The sequence below is a fragment of the Homo sapiens genome, chromosome 19 (assembly GCF_000001405.40).
Source record: "Homo sapiens chromosome 19, GRCh38.p14 Primary Assembly".
NCBI lineage: Eukaryota > Metazoa > Chordata > Mammalia > Primates > Hominidae > Homo > Homo sapiens.
In genome coordinates this window covers 4,765,084-4,784,098 of record NC_000019.10, presented here as the reverse complement: position 1 = coordinate 4,784,098, position 19,015 = coordinate 4,765,084, and the positions used below count along the sequence as shown (strand labels likewise).

Sequence of the window (19,015 nt, the reverse complement as noted above, 5' to 3'; positions counted from 1 at the left end):
TATACCATTTTTTTAATTTAAATTTTTATTTTTTGAGATAAGGTCTTGCTCTGTTGTCCAGGCTGCAGTGCAGTGGTGCAATCATAGCTCACTGCAGGCTTGAACTCCTGAGCTCAAGTGACCCTCCCGCCTGAGCCTCCTGAGTAGCTGGGTCTAGAGGCATGTACCACAACACCCAGCTAATTTTTTTTAGATGCTTGTGGGGTCTTGCTATACTGCCCAGGCCGGTCTCAAACTCCTGAGCTCAAATGGTCCTCCCTCCTTCTCCTCCCAAAGTGCTGGGATTCCAGGTGTGAGTCACTGTGTCCCACCTATTATTTCACTCTGTATGCCTTTGCAAACCCATAGCTTAGCTCCCACTTATGTGAGAATACACAGTATTTGGTTTTTCATTACTAGTTACTTCACTTAGAACACTGGTCTCGGCTGGGTGCGGTAGCTCGCCCCTGTAATCCCAGCACTTTGGGAGGCTGAGGCGGGCAGATCACCTGAGGTCAGGAGTTCGAGACCAGCCTGGCCAACATGGTGAAACCCCATCTCTACTAAAAATACAAAAATAAGCTGTGCATGGTGGCACATGCCTGTAATTCCAGGTACTCAGGAGGCTGAGGCAGGAGAATCATTTGAACCTGGGAGGTGGAGGTTGCAGTGAGCCGAGATCTTGCCACTGCACTCCAGCCTGGGCAACAGAATGAGACTCCATCTCAAAAAAAAAAAAAACAAACAAGTCTGGGCTCGGTGGCTCATGCCTGTAATCCCAGCACTTTGGGAGGCTGAGGCGGGCAGATCACAAGATCAAGAGATCAAGACCATCCTGGCCAACACAGTGAAACCCCGTCTCTACTCAAAATACAAAAATTAGCTGGGTGTGGTGGTGCACGCCTGTAGTTCCAGCTACTCAGGAGGCTGAGGCAGGAGAATTGCTTGAACCTGGGAGGCAGAGGTTGCAGTGAGCCGAGATCATGCCACTGCACTTCAGCCTGGGTGACAGAGCGAGACTCCGTCTCAAAAAAGAAAAGAAAAGAAAAGGAAAGAGACGAGAAGAGGAGTAAGTGTATTAGTCTGCTTGGACTGTCATAGCTAAATGTCACAGGTTGAGTGGCTTAAACAACAGAAAGTTATTTTTCCACATTTCTGGAGCCTAGAAGTTCAAGATCAAGATATGGGCAGAATGAGCTGAGTATGGTAGGGCACGCCTGTAGTCCCAGCTACTTGAGAGGCTGACATGAGGGATTGCTTGAATCCAGGAGGTCAAGACTAGTGTGGGCAATGCAGCGAGACCCCGTCTCTATGAAAAAATTTAAAAAGTTAGCCAGGTACAGTGATGTACACCTGTGGTCCCAGCTCCTTGAGACGCTGAGGTGGGAGGATCTTGACCCCAGGAGATGGAGGCTGCAGTGAGCTATGATCGCACCACTGCACTCCAGCCTGGGTGACAGAGCAAGACCCTGACTTAAAAACAAGAAAGATATGGGAAAGATTGATTTATCTTGAGGCCTCTCTCCTTGGCTTGGGCAAATGGCTACCTTCCCAGTGGAGCCCTGCCCCAAGCTCCTGACCTACAGAATCCATAAGATATAAGAAAATGATTAAAAAAAAAAAAAAAGGGTCTGTCTCTGTTGTCCAGGCTGGAGTGCAGTGGCATGATCTCAGCTCAGTGCAACCTCTGCCTCCTGGGTTCAAGCAATCCTCCCACCTCAGCCTTCCAAGTACCTGGGACTACAGGCCTGTGCCACCATGTCCAGCTAATTTTTGTATTTTTGTGTAGAGACGGTGTTTCACTATGTTGCCCAGGCTGGTCTCAAACTCCTGAGCTCAAGCAATCCACCCACCTCGGCCTCCCAAAGTGCTGGGATTACAGGCGTGAGCCACTCCGCCCAGCCATGATGATTGTTTTAAGCCTGAACATTTTGGGGTCATCTGTGGTGCAGTAATAGTAACTGGGATTGTGCCACGTGCTAGCTGGTAGCTTTAATTTGCCTGTCTATAATTACTAACCAAATCACACAGTTCCCCAAGAGTTTGTTTACGATGTCTGTTTCCTCTCCGGGGAATTGTCTGTTCATTGGGAAAATATGCCATGGTTTAGTTTCTAAGAAACAGTCTCAGTGTGTCTCCCACTCCCTGAAGGGACTAGATAGATTTATATAATGTAGCACAGCCTGAAGGCATTAGTATGTATCTTTGTTTCATTTCTTCATTCATTTAAACATTCAGCCACATTTATTTATATTCTTAGCACCTGCTATGTGCTGGGCTGTGTGCTGGATCCTGGTTATATAGCAGTAAACAAGCAGATGTTGTTCTCAAGAGCCCAGAATCTGATGGGAGGAGAATAACTCAAGTTAGACTGTGTGGTTGGGGATGCAGGAGCCTGAGAATGAATGGATTGTATCTGGCTGGGGAGGGAAGGAGGAACCTGGGAGATACTTCATGTGCGAGGCTAGGTCTTCAAGTATGGACAGGGATTTTTTTTTTTTTTTGAGACAGAGCCTTGCTCTGTCACCCAGGTTGGAGTGCAGTGGCTCAATCTTGGCTCACTGCAATCTCCGCCTCCCAGGTTCACGCCATTCTCCTGCCTCAGCCTCCTGAGTAGCTGGGACTACAGGCGCCCGCCATCACGCCCAGGTAATTTTTTGTATTTTTAGTAGAGATGGGGTTTCACCGCGTTAGCCAGGATGGTCTCAATCTCCTGACCTTATGATCCGCCCACCTCAGCCTCCTAAAGTGCTGGCATTACAGGCGTGAGCCACCATGTCTGGCCTGGACAGGGATTTTTTTTTAGGTAGAACTTTGGAAGAAACAAATGGTCCAGATTGCTCTAGATACCTAAATTGACTTAACAAACGACCTCAAGGTTACTGACATAAACAACAACCTATTATTATTACTTGTCATGGTTCTGAGAGTGGACTCTGCTAGACAGTTCTCACTGGGGGCAGTTCGTATGTGGTTCAAGTCAGAAGGAGGCTGGGGTTGGAGTCATCTTGAAGGACCTCAACTGGGACTGCCGGCAGGAACACCTCCATGTAGCTTGAGCTTCCTCACAAGATGGCTGCTGGGTCCCAGGAGCAAGCATCCAGAGAGAGAACCAGGCATAAGCTGTATCGTATCACCTCTTATCACGCAGCCTCAGAAGTCATAGTGTCACTTCTGCCACATCGTATTTGCCAAGTCTAGCCCACTTTCAAGGGGAGAGAATTGGATCTTCACAAGAAAACAGAGTTAGATGTTTGTGGATTTTTTTTTTTTTTGTTGATGTTGTTGTTTTTGAGACAAAGTCTTGCTCTGTCGCTCAGGCTGGAGTGCAGTGGCGTGATCTTGGCTAACTGCAAGCTCCACCTCCCAGGTTCACGCCATTCTCTTGCCTCAGCCTCCTAAGTAGCTGGGACTACAGGCGCCCGGCACCACGCCCGACTAATTTTTTGTATTTTTAGTAGAGACGGGGTTTCACCGTGTTAGCCAGGATGGTCTTGATCTCCTGACCTCGTGATCCGCCCACCTCGGCCTCCCAAAGTGCTGGGATTACAGGCGTGAGCCACCGCGCCCAGCAGCCACCGTGCCCGGCTGTGGATGTTTTAAGACCATCACACAGGTGGAAGGAAGAGACAGCACCAAAAATGCAGAGGATGGACAACCTGGCAGGTATGGTACATTCCGTATTGTATTGACATCCCTTGCTCATCAGACAGCATTTTGGCTGGGGGTGGTGGCTCATGCCTGTAATCCCAACACTTTGGGAGGCCAAGGCAGAAGGATCACTGGAGCCTAGGAGTTTGAGACCAGCCTGGGCAACACAGTGATACTTCATTTCTACAAAAAATAAAAAAATTAGCTTGGCATGGTGGTGTGTGCCTATAGTTAGCTACTTGGGAGGCTGAGGCAGCAGGATCTCTTGAGCCCAGGAAGTCAAGGCTGCAGTGAGCCATGATCATGCCACTGACTCCAGCCCAAGCTACAGAGTGAGACCCTATTTAAGAAAAGGAGCATTTTAGGGAAATTCTCCATCAAAGATGAGGTCCCTTGCAGGTCACAGTAGCTCACACCTGAAATCCCAGCAATTTTGGTGGACAAGATGGGAGGATCACTTGAGCCCAGGAGTTACAGACCAGCCTGGGCAACATAGCAAGACCCTGTCTTTTGGCCGGATGTGGCGGCTCATGCCTGTAATCCCAGCACTTTGGGAGGCCGAGGCAGGTGGATCATGAGGTCAGGAGATCAAGACTATCCTGGCTAACACAGTGAAACCCCATCTCTACTAAAAATACAAAAAATTAACCAGGCGTGGTGGTGGGCGCCTGTAGTCCCAGCTGCTCGGGAGGCTGAGGCAGGAGAATGGCGTGAACCCGGGAGGCAGAGCTTGCAGTGAGCCGAGATTGCACCACTGCACTCCAGCCTGGGCAACAGAGCAAGACTCCATCTCAAAAAAAAAAAAAAAAGAACCTGTCTTTTTTCTTTTTCATTAAGGACCTTAAGAGACAACCCTCATCTAGCCTTCTAACAGAAATGTTATGGAGTAGCAGGCATACCTGCTTTTTCTCTCTCTTATTTATTTATTTATTTATTTATTTATTTTTGAGACAAGATCTCACTCTGTTGCCCAGGCTGGATGGAGTGCAGTGGTACAATCATAGATCACTGCAGCCTTGACCTCCCAGGGCCAAGCAATCTTTCCTTCTACCTCAGCCTCCTAAGTAGCTGGGATTACAGGTGCATCACCATGCCTGGCTAATTGTTTATTTTTTGTAGAGACGGGGTCTCACTATGTTGCCCAGGATGTCTGCTTCCTCATAACAAGTAAAAGAGAAACTTTTATGTCTACAATTTTCTGTAATTTTCTTTCTTTTTTCTTTTTTTTTTTTTGAAACGAAGTCTTGCCTGTCACCCAGGCTGGAGTGCAGTGGCACCATCTCAGCTCACTGCAACCTCTGCTTCCCCGGTTCAAGCCATTCTCCTCCCTCAGCCTCCTGAGTAGCTGGGACTACAGGCGCCCGCCACCACACTTGGCTAATTTTTTGTATTTTTAGTAGAGACAGGGTTTCACCGTGTTAGCCAGGATGGGCTTGATCTCCTGACCTTGTGATCTGCCTGCCTTGGCCTCCCAAAGTGCTGAGATTACAGGCATGAGCCACCATGCCTGGCCTAATTTCAATTTCTGAAAGATTGTTACTAGTATATAGAAATATAATTAATGTTTTATATTGTTCTTGGAGCCTGCAATCTTTTGTAGATTCTGTAATATTTTCTACATAGACAACCATGGCACCCGTGAATAAACACAGTTTTACTTCTTTGCAATGTGGATGCCTTTTTTTTTTTCTTATGCACTGGCTAGAACCTCCAATACAATATTGAATAGAAGTGGCAGCTGGATGTGGTCGCTCACGCCTATAATCCCAGCACTTTGGGAGGCCGAGGCAGGTGGATCACCTGAGGTCAGGAGTTTGAGACTAGCTTGGCCAACATGGTAAAACCCCATCTCTACCAAAATACAAAAATTAGCCAGGCATGGTGGTGGGCACCTGTGATCCCAGCTACTAGGGAGGCTGAGGCATGAGAATCACTTGAATCCGGGAGGCGGAGGTTTCAGTGAGCCGAGATGGTGCCACTGCACTCCAGTCTGGGCGACAGAGTGAGATTTTGTCAAAAAAAAAGAAAAGAAAAAAGAAGGAAGGAAGAAAGGAAGGAAGGAAGGAAGGAAGAAAGAAAGAAAAGAAAGAAAGAAAGAAGGAAGGAAGGAAAGAGAGAAAGAAAGAAGGAAGAGAGAAAGAAGGAAGGAAGAGAAAGAGAAAGAAAGAAAGAAAGGGAAAGAAGGAAAGAAGGAAGGAAGAAAGGAAAGAAGGAAGGAAGGAAGGAAGGAAGGAAGGAAGGAATGATGAGAGTCGGCTGGGCATGGTAGCTCACATCTGTAATCCTAGCACTTCGGGAAACTGAGGTGGGCAGATCACTTGAGGCCAGGAGTTTGAGACCAGCCTGACCAACATGTTGAAACCTTGTCTCTACTAAAATTACCCCCAAAAAATTAGCCAGGCGTGGTGGTGCACACCTGTAATTCCAGCTACATGGGAGGCTGGGGCACAATAATTGCTTGAACCCAGGAGGTGGAGGTTGCAGTAAGCTGAGATCACACCCCTGCACTCCAGCCTGGGCTACAGAGCTGGACGTCTCTGTCTTAGTCCCATTCTAGGGGGAAAGCATTCAGTCTTGTACCATTAAGTGTACTGTTAGCTGTAGAGTTTTTTTGTCTTGTTTTGTTTTGTTTGTTTTCTTGCTGTTATTTTGAGACAGGGGCTTGTTCTGTCGCCCAGGCTGGAGTGCAGTGGCACAATCATGGCTCACTGCAGCCTCCTCCTCCTGGGCTCAAACAGTCCTCCTTCCTCAGCCTCCCAAGTAGCTGGGACAATAGGCACGTGCCACCACACCCAACTAATTTTTTATTTATTTACTTATTGGTGAGGCATGGTCTTGCCATGTCGCCCAGGCTGATCTTGAACTCCTGGCCTCAAGCAATCATCCCTCCTTGGCTTCCCAAAGTGCTGGGATTACAGGCATGAGCCACTGCTCCCTTCCTGGCTGTAGCTTTTTTTTTTTTTTTTTCAAGACGGAGTTTTGCTCTTATTGCCCAGGCTTGAGTACAGTAGCACGATCTCAGCTCACTGCAACCTCTGCCTCCTGGGTTCAAGCGATTCTCCTGCCTCAGCCTCCCGAGTAGCTGGGATTAACAGGCGCCTGCCATCATACCTGGCTAGTTTTTGTATTTTTAGTAGAGACGGGGTTTCACTATGTTGGCCAGACTGATCTTGAACTCTTGGCCTCGAGTGTTCTGCCTGCCTCGGCCTTCCAAAGTGCGGGATCACAGGCGTAACCCACTGTGCCAGGCCCGGCATACGCTATTTCTGTCCATTCATCTCTTCCTTACCAGCGTGGGGCAGGGCCAGGGGTCCTCCTGCCTGCTAGGCCACAGAGAAGGAGCGCTGTCCACTGCGTGGCTGCCCCCTCTGGTCTTGGGCTGAGCCACAGCTGGATTCCTGCGATTTGGAATGACTGGGATAGAGGGGTAGAGATTCCAGAACCAGATGTGGGTCGGGGGAGGAGACTCCACTATCTTGCTCTGATGCTGCCGGCTTGTTGTCATGGAAACCAAAGCCACTCTCTTAGGAAGGACCCATTAAGGTGCAGGACATAATCAAGGCTCTCTCTGGCGGCCCCCTGCCCTCCCTAGTGGGAGGCAACCACCGTTTGAGCCCTTGAATGTTGCAGCATTTAAGTTCTGCCCTCCTCCCTCACTTGCCTCCCTACAAAAAAATTCTCCAAAACATACACAAGGGAGCCAAGCAGGCGTCAGAGAAGACCCTCAAGGTTTCTGAACTGACCCCTCCCCAAGCCTGAGGCTTCAGTTCCAGCCCTAGCTGGGGATGATTCACTGGGTGACCGCCACAAACTCCTGTCTGTGTCTTGGCATCCTTCCCTGGGAAAATGATAGAGATACATTACAATTGCCACATTGTCTCTGAATACCAAACTGTTAGAGGGGTGGATGGTAGGGGTTCAACTTGCAGACTGGATCAAACTGCCTGGATTGGGCTGGGCACGGTGGCTCACGCCCATAATCCCAGAACCTTGGGAGGCCGAGGCAGGCAGATCACTTGAGGTTAGAAGTTTAAGACCAGCCTGGTCAACATGGTGAAACCCCGTCTCTACTAAAAATACAAAAATTAGCAGAGCATGGTGATGGGTGCTTGTAATCCCAGCTACTCGGGAGGCTGAGGCAGGATAATCACTTGAACCCAGGAGGCAGAAGTTGCAGTGGGCTGAGATTACACCACTGCACTCCAACCTGGGCCACAGAGTGAGACTCCATTTTTTAAAAAATGATAATAATTGCTACATAGTCTCTGAATACTAAACTGTTAGAGGGGTAGAAGGTAGGGGTTCAACTTGCAGACCCTAGATGATACTGCCTGGATTGAAGTCCTGGCTATGCCACCAGCAGCTGTGCAACCTCGAGCAACTTGCTTGACCTCCCTGGGCCTCAGTTTCCTCTCCTGCAAAATAGGGTGCAATAAGACCACCAACCTCGCAGGAGATCATGTGTCTAAAGCCATCAAAACAGCGTCTGGATAAGGAAAATGTGGTATATCCATGCAATGGAATATGACTCAGCCATGAAAAGGAATGAGGCTCTGACACAGGCTACAAGAACCTTGAGGACGTCAGGCTCAGGTGGGAGAAGCCAGACACAAAAAGCCACACAGTGTGTGATCCCATTTCTATGGCATGTCCAGAACAGGCCAATCCAGAGAGATAGAAATCAGATAAATGGTTGCCAGGGGCTGGAGTGTGGGAAGAAGAATGAGGAGTGACTGCTTTTGTTTTTTTTTTTTTTGAAACGGACTCACTGTTGCTCAGGCCAGGGTGCAGTGGCACAATCTTGGCTCATTGCAACCTCTGCCTTCCTGGTTAAAGAAATCCTCCCAGCTCAGCCTCTCAAGTAGCTGGGATTACAGGCGTGTGCCACCACGCTCGGCTAATTTTTGTATTTTTAATAGATTCAGGTTTCACTGTGTTGGCCAGGCTGGTCTCAAACTCCTGACTTCAGGTGATCCACCCGTCTTGGCCTCCCAAAGTGCTGGGATTACAGGCATGAGCCATTGCGCCCAGCCTCCTCTTTCTTTTTTAAGAGAGGGGAGTCTTACTATGTTGCCCACAACATAGTAAGACTCAAACTGGTATGAAACTCCTGGCCTCAAGCCATCCTCCCACCTCAGCCTCCCGGGTAGCTGGGATGACAGGACATGAGACATTGCACCTGGCTAACCTGTGGATTCTGACACTTAACTCTGGGTGATTAAAATCATAATTTAATTGCTCATGGCCAGGGGAGAAGGGGGTCTCTCTCACACTTTTTTTTTTTTTTCCTGAGACAGAGTCTCGCTCTATCACCCAGGCTGGAGTGCAGTGGCACGATCTCAGCTCACTGCAACCTCCGCCTCCCGGGTTCAAGCAATTCTCCTGCTTCAGCCTCCCGAGTAGCTGGGACTACAGGCTCACGCCACCATGGCCAGCTAATTTTTTTTGTATTTTTAGTAGAGATGGGGTTTCACCATGTTAGCCAGGATGGTCTCGATCTCCTGACCTAGTGATCTGCCTGCCTTGGCCTCCCAAAGTGTTCTGGGATTACAGGTGTGAGCCATCATGCCCGTTTTTTTTGTTTTGTTTTGTTTTGTTTTGTTTGAGATGGGGTCTCGCTCTGTCACCCAGGCTGGAGTGCAGTGGTGCGATCTCAGCTCACTGCAACCTCCGCCTCCCAAGCTCAGGCAATCCTCTCACCTCAGCCTTCTGAGAAGCTGGGACTACAGGCTCGTGACACCATGTTCGACATTTTTTTTTTTTTTTTTGTATTTTTGGTAGAGACAGGATTTCACCATGTTGGCGAGGTTAGTCCTGAACTCCTGAGTTCAAGCAATCCACCTGTCTTGGCCTCCCAAACTGCTGGGATTACAGGCATGAGCCATCATACGCACCCTCTCTCACGTATTTTTTAAGAGGGTCTTGCTCTGTCGTTCAGGCTGGAGTGCAGTGAGGCGATCATTGCTCAGTGTAGCCTCCAATTCCTGTGCTCAAGCAATTCTCCTGAGTAGCTGTGACTACAGTGTGCACCACTGCACCCAGCTGTCACTTTTTTTTCCAACAAGACAACAGCAAAAAATGAAGTATAATGTGTTCTTCTGTCAAGTTAACCAGCCATAACGGCAAAGCCCAGGAGGGCAGTGATGGAAACTCATTCACCTTTTTTAGTTTCTAAAGCCATTGAGCAGGCAGCTGCAAGCTGGGTCCTTGGGGGTGGCTGGGAGAGGGTGGTAAGTTGGTTGGACCTCTGTGGGTAATGGCTCGTCTTTACAGGGGTGTGTGGCCTCCAGGATTTTCTGTGTGATGAAGGTGATAGGCTCAGGCACAAGCATTTATACCCAAAGTGAATATTGGATGCCAGCACTGAGCTAGGCGTGTGTGTGGGGAGGTCAGGGGTACAAAGATGAAACTGCCAGGAAAAACTGAGGGCTCCCAGGGGTCTTTGGGGGAAAATAAAAGGTTAGTGTGGCTTTAAAAAGAATCAATAAAGGCTGGCCGGGCGCGGTGGCTCACGTCTGTAATCCCAGCACTTTGGGAAGCCGAGGTGGGTGGATCACTTGAGGTCAGGAGTTCAAGACCAACTGTGCCAGCATGGTGAGACCCCCATCTCTACTAAAAATACAAAAATTAGCTAAGTGTGGTGGCACGTGCCTGTAATCCCAGCTGCTCAGGAGGCTGAGCCAAGAGAATCGCTTGAAACCAGGAGGCAGAGGTTGCAGTGAACCGAGATCATGCTACTGCACTCCAGCCTGGGCAAGAGTGAGACTCTGAAAAAATTAGACCGGTGCAGTGACTCATGCCTGTAATCCCAGCACTTTGGGAGGTTGAGGCGGGTGGATCACTTGAGGTCAGCCTGGCCAACATGGTGAAACTCCGTCTCTACCAAAAATATAAAAATTAGCTGGGTGTGGTGGCACACGCCTGTGGTCCTGTGCAAGTGATCCACCCACCTTGGCCTCCCAAAGTGCTGGGACTGCAGGCATGAGCCACCACGCCCAACCGGATATTTGAACGTTATTCTGCAGTCAGTGGGGCTCTTGGAAGGGTGACAGGCAGGAGTGGAACTTGGTCAGATGTGTGTTCTGGAAAGTCCCCTCGCTGCATGTAGAGAATGAACAGGCTGTATGTGTGTGTATGCTCAGAGGGGAGACAGTGAGGAGATCCGGACATGCAGGGAGGCGGAGGTCATGGAGGCAGAGGGCTGGAGGGAGGTCATGGAGGCAGAGGGCTGGAGGAGAGAGGATGGATTTGAGCACAGTGACTCATCTTGGGGATCATGGGGAGTGGATGAGGAGGGGAGGATCTTGGGCATGTAGAGGGACTGTCATATTCATGGGCATGTCAGGGGAGGAAGCTAGGGGCTGGGCAGATTGAGTGTTCACTTTGAAATGATTAATTTGGGGTGACTGGGAGACACCCATAGCAGAATGTCCTCCTCCATTGAGGACCCCAGAAGGCAATATCTGTGTGCCTTTTCCTTTCTGAAAGACCTTGCATTCCCAGGGGGCAATTCTAAATAGACCAGGAAACCTCCCACAATTAGACCTAACCCAGACATTGAACCTCCCTCTGCTCAGCCCATTCATAAAGTGCCTCTGGCATTTAGGTGTCTTCTAATCTCATTTTCTCTGCTTGTTAATGGACCCACTGAGGCAGTACTCCTGGGAGAGAGAGAAAGATTTCATTTGTCTGGGGCTGAGGAGGGAGACGAGGGTTGCCAGAGCTAATGAGGAATCAGTGCCTTGTAATTGCTAATTAAATGAGCCTGGCTCTCTCTCTTGGGGCTGTGAGTTGGCTGGCCGGCCCTTAAGTGTCCACAAATTCAATTATGCTTCCCCAATAAACACCTCCAGCAACCATTGCCCTCCAGTATCTCTCTGGGGGAGACCTAGAAGAAGGATCTTCCTGTGTGTGCTGAGGCCATTCATTCATTTATTGATTGATGTATTGGTTTATTCTTTGATGCCTTTATTGATTCAACACATGCTTATTATATGCCTGCTGTGTGCCGGGCCCCGGACCAGGCGCTGGGGACACAGCAGTGAAAATACTAACATTGTTTCTGCCCTCACGGAGCTCACAGTGTAACAGGGAGACAAATAGACCTGTCAGTAGATAACATGAAAATAATTGGACTATGTGCTGCAGACACAATATCCCAGGTCTATGAGAATGTCAATACAGACTTCACGTGGGAAATGGTGAGGCAATAAGGATCGTTTCCCTTGATGAAATGGAGCTTGCAGAAGAAGGCAGGGTCAGTTGTGGGGAGCTCTGGTTGGAGGTGGAGGGAGTGCATTCCAAGCTGCAGGAACAGCAGAGGCAAAAGCCCTGAGGCTGGAGAACAGGTAACCATGTGCAGTTTTTCACTTGATTAGGGTGTTGCAGAGAATTGGGAGTGAGTCTTATATATTTATTTATTTATTTATTATTTTTTACTGAGATGAGGTCTTGCTATGTTGCCCAGGCTGGTCTCGAACTCCTGAGCTCAAGCTATCCTCCCACCTTGGCCTCCCAAAGTGCTGGGATTACAAGTGTGAGCCACCATGTCTGGCAAAGGTGGTGAGCCTTTATGATGTCATAAGTCACCACTGGGCACAAGTTCACACTTGTCCTATGATTGGCCCATGACACTGATGGGTAGCAGACAGGAAAGGAATCTTTTCTGAAACTTTTTTTTTGAAACAGGGTGTTGTTCTGTTGCCCAGTCTGGAGTGCAGTGGTGCAGTCATGGCTCACTGCAGCCTTGATCTCCCAGGCTCAAGTGTTCCTCCCACCTCCTAAGTAGTTGGGACTACAGGCATGTGTCAACTCACGGGGTCTCACTATATTGCCCAGGCTGGTCTCAAACTCCTGTACTCAAGCAATCCTCCCATCTCATCCTCCCAAAATGTTAGGATTACAGGTATGAGCTCCCACACCCAGCCCACTTCTGGAACTTTTATTGAAAAGTATCCTTAGGCTGGGTTCGGTGGCTCACACCTGTAATCTTGGCACTTTGAGAGGCTGAGGCAGGAGACCATGTCTTTACAAAAAAGAAAAAAAAAATGTTTTTTGAGACAGAATCTCTCTCTGTTGCCCAGGCTGGAGTGCAGTGGTGCAATCTTGGGTCATGCAGCCTCTGCCTCCTGGGTTCAAGGGATTCCCATGCCTCAGCCTCCCGAGTAGCTGGGACTACAGGTGTGTGCCACAACGCCCAGCTAATTTTTGTATTTTTAGGAGAAATGGAGTTTCACCATGTTGTCCAGGCTGGTCTTGAACTCCTGGCCTCAAGTGGTCCACCTGCCTTGGCCTCCCAAAGTGCTGGGATGACAGGCGTGAGCCACCCGGCCAAAAAAATAATAATTTTTTTTTTAATAGAAAAGTACCCTGAGAACTCTGGTCTAGGGAGGGCTTTAAATGTCATTCCCTCATTGGGTCTCCCAGGAAAGCGCCATAAGGTGGTTAGAGGTCTTGGGTTTAGAGTCAGGTATGTTCTATCTCCAGGCTTGTGGGGGCGTACGAGTGATGTGACAAACCCCATACATGGTGCATGGCTGTATGAGCACAGGATGTATGTCCTTGTTTGCTTCCCTCCTTTGCCTGTGCCTGTATCGCCTGGAGTGAGCCAGCCCCCCCACTCCGAGTGGAAGCGATTCTTCCCCGACCTCCCCGGTTCTCCCCCACTGGCCAGCCCATTGAAGGCGAAGGTCGAAGGGAGTCTGCGCTATGAGGCCGGCTGTGACTTGTTGTCGTAGTACATCAGAACAACAAAATCACTAGTCTTCCACACAGCACTAGACCACAGCCACTCTAATCTTCTTCACCACCCTCTGCCCCATGTCTGAGACCCCTGCCCAGCTCCTCCTTCTCACCTGAGCCAAGCTATGACACCTGAGTTTCCTGCCTCTGTGCTGCCTCCCTGTTTTCCATTCCCGGTTCTCCTGGAGAGAAGCAGGGTCTGATCTCCAAGGGCCCACCTCCCACCCAGGCACGTCAGAGACATGGGATTTGGAGTTGGACTGGTGGGGTTGACTTACAGCTTCACTTGTGGGCTGAGAGTCCCTGCGTGGGTTATTTTTCTGCCTTTCTCAGGGCCTTGGGTTCCCCAAATGTCACATGGGCACAGTAACACCCATGTCCTAGGGTTGAAGATGGCATGATATGATGTATGTAAAATGCTTGGCACAAGGTTTCTCACCGAAGTCTGGAAGAGACACCATAATGTCATCTTAGCAGGCAGCTGTTACCCCAGTGAGGTATCTTACCTGTTGAAAATTCCGGACTTGGGCCAGGCGCAGTGACTCACGCCTGTAATCCTAGCACTTTGGGAGGCTGAGGTGGACGGATGAAGAGGTCAAGAGTTTGAGACCAGCCTGGCCAACATGGTGAAACCCCGTCTCTACTAAGAATACAAAAATTAGCCGGGAGTGGTGGCATGTGCCTGTAATCCCAGATACTCGGGAGGCTGAGGCAGGAGAATCCCTTGAACCCAGGAGGCAGAGGTTGCAGTGAGCCGAGATCGTGCCACTGCACTCCAGCCTGGGCGACAGAGCAAGACTCCGTCTCGAAAAAAAAAGAAAATTGCAGACTTCTGTGTGTGCTTATCTGGAAAATACTTTGTTTAAAAATCCATTACATGAGGTGCAGGTCTCCAGAAATGCCAGGCACCTCAGACCACCCTCTCTCGTCCTCCCCCTGCAAAATCAGGGTCAAAGGGCTCTCCCGTTACCTGGAGGAGCTGTCCAGGGTTCTGGAGACGAAACGGAGCCCGCTGGGAACTGTCCTGAGCCCCGGTGCTGAAACAGATCGCGGTTCTCTTCTCGGACCTCCCGAGAGGCGCTGTCCGGATATTTGGTGCTGAAATAAATAGCATTCTCCTCCTTCGGTCGGTGGAGAGCTGTCCCTCGTGCTGAAGAAAACTTGATTTTCCTCTCTCTTTCCCCGTTCCCCCACCCCTCTTCGTTCTCGGTTCCTCCGATTCTTGGGAAACCCCACCCCCACTCAATTTATTTCCCCTCCTAGCTTCTTCCTGGGGAGCTTCAGAATGGCAATGGGGTGGCGGGGGGGAGACACAGAGGGGTCGCAACTAGCACTGATACCTGCTCCTCACCCTGTACCATGTCCCCAGAACTTACCTCCCAAGCAGTCAGCCCTGCTGGTCTCTGCTTTCCAGACCGTCAAACTTCGCCGTCTCTGTCCCTTTCTGGGAAAATGTCCATGCGCCAACCTGCAAACCAGCCTCATTCCCGGCATCCCACGTCCCTCAGACCACCCCTCCTCCCACGCAGCTGCGGGCCTCCCCCTCTGTGTGCCTCACCTGCTTCCAGTCTTGTTGGCAGATGCAGGTGTCCCGTGGCTGCCGAGGCGGGGACCTGCGCTTTTATAGGCTTCAGGGAAGGCGGAGCGCCAGGAATCCTGGGAGGGGCTTCCCCAACTGGCCAATGGGATTCCGCCTCAGAATGAAGCTCCAAAGATTACCTCATAGGTTGTGGCCCACGCTTCAGAATAAAAGTCTGGCATCTGCCCAAAAACTGGGCTAGGGGATTTTTTCGGATGGGGAAGGAGCATTCATTGTGGACCATGGAGTCTCCCCACTCTCTCCAATCCCCTCCTGGGTTCCTGAGCTCCAAGTTCGTTCAGGTGTCCTGGCTGGTACCTGTTTCTTCCCATTCCCAATTTTTGCTATTGCTCCTGGTTCAGGAAAGAAAAAGCTGGTAAACTGTTTTGGGAAAAAATAAGGGATGTGGAGAATATTAAAGTCCAGTTCCACCTAGGGCAACTGACGTCTGTGAAAATGGAGGGCTCAGAAGACTCTGGGGCAGAGGTGGGACTTAAGCCTGAAGCTTTTGATTCCTTAACTCAAAACCCAATTTATAAAATTCAGCTTATTGTAGTGCTATACTGGGCAGGCTCTGAACCAAAAAACGAAGAAACTGGGGTTCAAGTTCAGATTTTTCTTCTCCTTCCTTTGGGACATTGGGCACAGTTGTGCCTCAGTTTTTGCAACTGTGAAGTAGTGATAATAGTAGAGTATTTGCTGAGGAACTAATGATATGGTGTGGATTGCATGTTAGAAATAATCAGGGCAGGGGCTAATGTGAGTTGGGTGAGGCACCAGCCTCAGGTGCAAAACTTAAAGGGGCACCAAAAAACTCAATAATCAAGGTAAATAATATTTCAGGCCAGGTGCAATGGCTCATGCTTGTAATCTGAGCACTTTGGGAGGCCAAGGTGGGAGGATCACTTGAGGCCAGGATTTCAAGATGAGCCTGGGCAACATAGTGAGACCCCGTTTCTGAGAGAGAAAGAGGGAGAGAGGGAGAGAGAAAGAGAGAAACAGAGAGAGAGAGAGAGAGAGAGAGAGAGAATGGCACCTGTGGTCTCAGCTACTTGGGAGGCTGAGGTGAGAGGATCACTTGAGGCCAGGAGGTCGAAGCTGCAGTGAGTTATGATTGCACCACTGCACTCCAGCCTAGGTGACAGAGCAAGACCCTGTCTCAAAAAAAAATCGATGCAATGTTTTAAGAAATCAAAATGTATGCCAAAATCCACAATGAACAAAATATCAAAAATGTAAATAAAGGCAGAACCAGCCTTTCTGACTTTTCCTTTTGCCTGAGGTCCCAATATGGCTTGGCATGGCACTAGCAATCATGTCTGTTTACGGTAAGTTTTCTAATAATGCAGCTGTTATTCTTTCCTGATCTATTCCACCCATTTATTTGCTCAACAAACTTGTTGTACTAGGCACTGGAGATACATACATGAATTCAGCAACCAACCTTGCCTTTAGGGAGGGTAAAGACATGAAAACTCTGCTCACATGTTGGTATGGGCATTGGGTTGAAGGAACAGTCAGTGTAAGGGCCCTGGTGGGGGTGGGGGAAAGAACAGGCCCTGGGGGGTGAGCAAGCATAGAAGGGACAGTTAGGATATAAATCAGGGACAGCTGTACAGGACCTGATCATTCAGGCCAGGACAAAAGTGAAGTTCCTCAGGTTGCACAGGAAGACCTGCCACCCTTTCTCTCTCCCCTTCCCTAAGCTTTTACTCTGTGCCAGGGTCAGTGCCAGACATTCTACCTGCTGAGTGATCTGAAGGCCTCAGGGCAGCCCCATGAGATAGATCCCAGCCAGGTGCGTTGACTCACCCCTGTAATTCCAGCACTTTGGGAGGCCGAGGCGGGTGGATGACCTGAGGTCAGGAGTTCGAGACCAGCTTGGCCAATATGGTGACACCTCGTCTCTACTAAAAATACAAAAATTAGCCGAGTGCGGTGGCGGGTGCCTGTAGTCCCAGCTACTACAGAGGCTGAGGCAGGAGAATCGCTTGAACCCGGGAGGCAGGGGTTGCAGTAAGCCAAGATCATGCCACTGCACTCCAGCCTGGGTGACAGAGCGAGACCTTGTATAAAAAAAATAAAAATAATAAAAAAATTGAAAAAGGGCCGGACATGGTGGCTCACGCCTGTAATCCCAGCACTTTGGAAAGCAGAGGTGGGTGGATCACCTGAGGTCGGGAGTTTGAGAACAGCGTGACCAACATGGAGAAACCCTGACTCTACTAAAAATACAAAATTAGCCGGCATGGTGGCACGTGCCTCTAATCCCAGCTACTTGGGAGGCTGAGGCAAGATAATCGCTTGAACCCAGGAGGTGGGGGTTGCAGTGAGCCAAGATTGTGCCACTGCACTCCAGCCTAGGCAATAAGAGCAAAACTCTGTTAAAAAAAAAGAAGAAGAAGAACAAAGAAAGGAAGGAAGGAGAAAGAGAAAGAGAGAAAAAAGAAAGAAAAAGAAAGAAAGAAGAAAGAAAGAAGAAAGAAAGAAAGAAAGAAAGAAAGAAAGAAAGAAAGAAAGAAAGAAAGAAAGAAAAAGAAAGAAGGAAAGAAAGAAAGAAAAAGAAAGAAAGTTCTTTTTGGCTGGATGCCTGTAATCCCAGCACTCTGGGAGGCCAAGGCAAGTGGATCACCTGAGGTCAGGAGTTTGAGACCAGACTGGACAATATGTTGAAACCCCATCTCTACTAAAAATACAAAAATTAGCTGGGCATGGTGGTGCATGCCTGTAATCCCAACTACTCAGGAGGCTGAGGCAGGAGAATCGCTTGAACCCAGGAGTTTGAAGTTGCAATGAGCCAAGATTGCACCATTGTACTCCAGCCTGGGCAACAAGAGCAAAACTCCATCTCAAAATAGACAGAGAGAGAGAGAGAGAGAGAGAGAGAGAGAGAGAGAGAGAGAGAGAGAGAGAAAGGAAAGCAGGCCTTTTGACTGGGCACAGTGGCTCATGCCTGTAATCCCAGCACTTTGGGAGGCCAAAGCGGGCAAATCACGAGGTCAGGAGGTCGAGACCAGCCTGGTCAACATGGTGAAACCTCGTCTCTACTAAAAATACAAAAAATTAGCTGGGCATAGTGGCGGGTGCCTGTAATCCCAGCTACTTGGGAGGCTCGGGCAGGAGAATCACTTGAACCCGGGAGAAGGAGGTTGCAGTGAGCCAAGATCGTGCCACTGCACTCCAGCCTGGGCAACAGAGCAAGACTCCTTCTCAAAAAAAAAAAAAAAAAAAAAAAAAAAGGAAGAAAGACCTTTTTTTTTTTAAGACAGAGTCTTAGTCTGTGACCCAGGCTGGAGTGCAGTAGTGCAATCATGGCTCACTGCAGTCTCTGCCTCCTGGCTCAGGCAATCCTCCTACTTCAGCCTTCTGTAGGTGTGCACCGCTATGCCCAGCTAATTTTAAAAATTATTTGTAGAAACAGGGTCACCCTATGTTGCCCAGGTTGGTCTTGAACTCCTGGGCTCAAGCAATCCTCCCACCTTGGCCTCCCAAAGTGCTGAAATTCCAGGCATGAGCTATCATGCCTGGCTGATATGCATGTTTTATAGATGGCTAGAGAGGGGAAGGGGCTTGCCCAAGGACCACAGGGAGAGGGTGTGGGAGTTGGGGACCCCAGTCTGCCAACCCCAAGGTTTAATCTCTTATCAATTGTTCATTTCATTTCCTGTGCCCTTCCAGAAGTACATGCATATATAAGTGTGTACATTCTCCGCCCACATGCACGTTTGCTACTTTTTATTTTTATTTTTTATTATTTTATTTTATTTTAGAGATGAAATCTCACTCTGTTGCCCATGCTGGAGTGCAGTGGCATGATCTCGACTCACTGCGACTTCTGCCTCCCGGATTCAAGCGATTCTCCTGCCTCAGCCTCCCGAGTAGCTGGGATTACAGGTGTCCGCCACCACACCCAGCTAATTCTTGTATTTTTAGTAGAGATGGGTTTTCACTATGTTGGCCAGGCTGGTGTTGAACTCCTGACCTCAAGCGATCCACCCACCTCGGTCTCCCAAATTGCTGGGATTACAGGTGTGAGCCACCACGCCTGGCCTGGCTTCCTTTCCT

The 19,015-nt window shown here is 49.2% G+C and overlaps 1 long non-coding RNA gene and 1 other non-coding gene across 2 annotated transcripts, besides 2 other annotated features; both read right to left on the bottom strand.

The window, feature by feature from the left end:
• Positions 2,955-3,155: a silencer, noted in NCBI's record as "peak3287 fragment used in MPRA reporter construct". NCBI's record gives its function as "represses an SCP1 promoter by STARR-seq MPRAs in K562 erythroleukemia cells {active_cell/tissue: K562}" and the evidence as "EXISTENCE:reporter gene assay evidence [ECO:0000049][PMID:32103011]".
• On the bottom strand, positions 11,543-14,994 carry MIR7-3HG (MIR7-3 host gene). Its single transcript, NR_027148.1, has 3 exons — positions 14,748-14,994; positions 14,342-14,469; positions 11,543-11,935 (listed from the first exon to the last, which is right to left on the bottom strand). It is a non-coding gene; the product is annotated as an MIR7-3 host gene (long non-coding RNA).
• Positions 13,320-13,429, bottom strand: MIR7-3 (microRNA 7-3). The gene has a single exon (NR_029607.1). It is a non-coding gene; the product is annotated as a microRNA 7-3 (primary transcript).
• Positions 14,268-14,562: a silencer, noted in NCBI's record as "tiled region #15136; HepG2 Repressive DNase unmatched - State 12:CtcfO, and K562 Repressive DNase unmatched - State 8:EnhW". NCBI's record gives its function as "represses a minimal TATA promoter and a strong SV40 promoter by Sharpr-MPRA in HepG2 cells, with weaker repression in K562 cells {active_cell/tissue: HepG2 | K562}" and the evidence as "EXISTENCE:reporter gene assay evidence [ECO:0000049][PMID:27701403]".
• Positions 14,995-19,015: the final 4,021 nt, after the last annotated feature.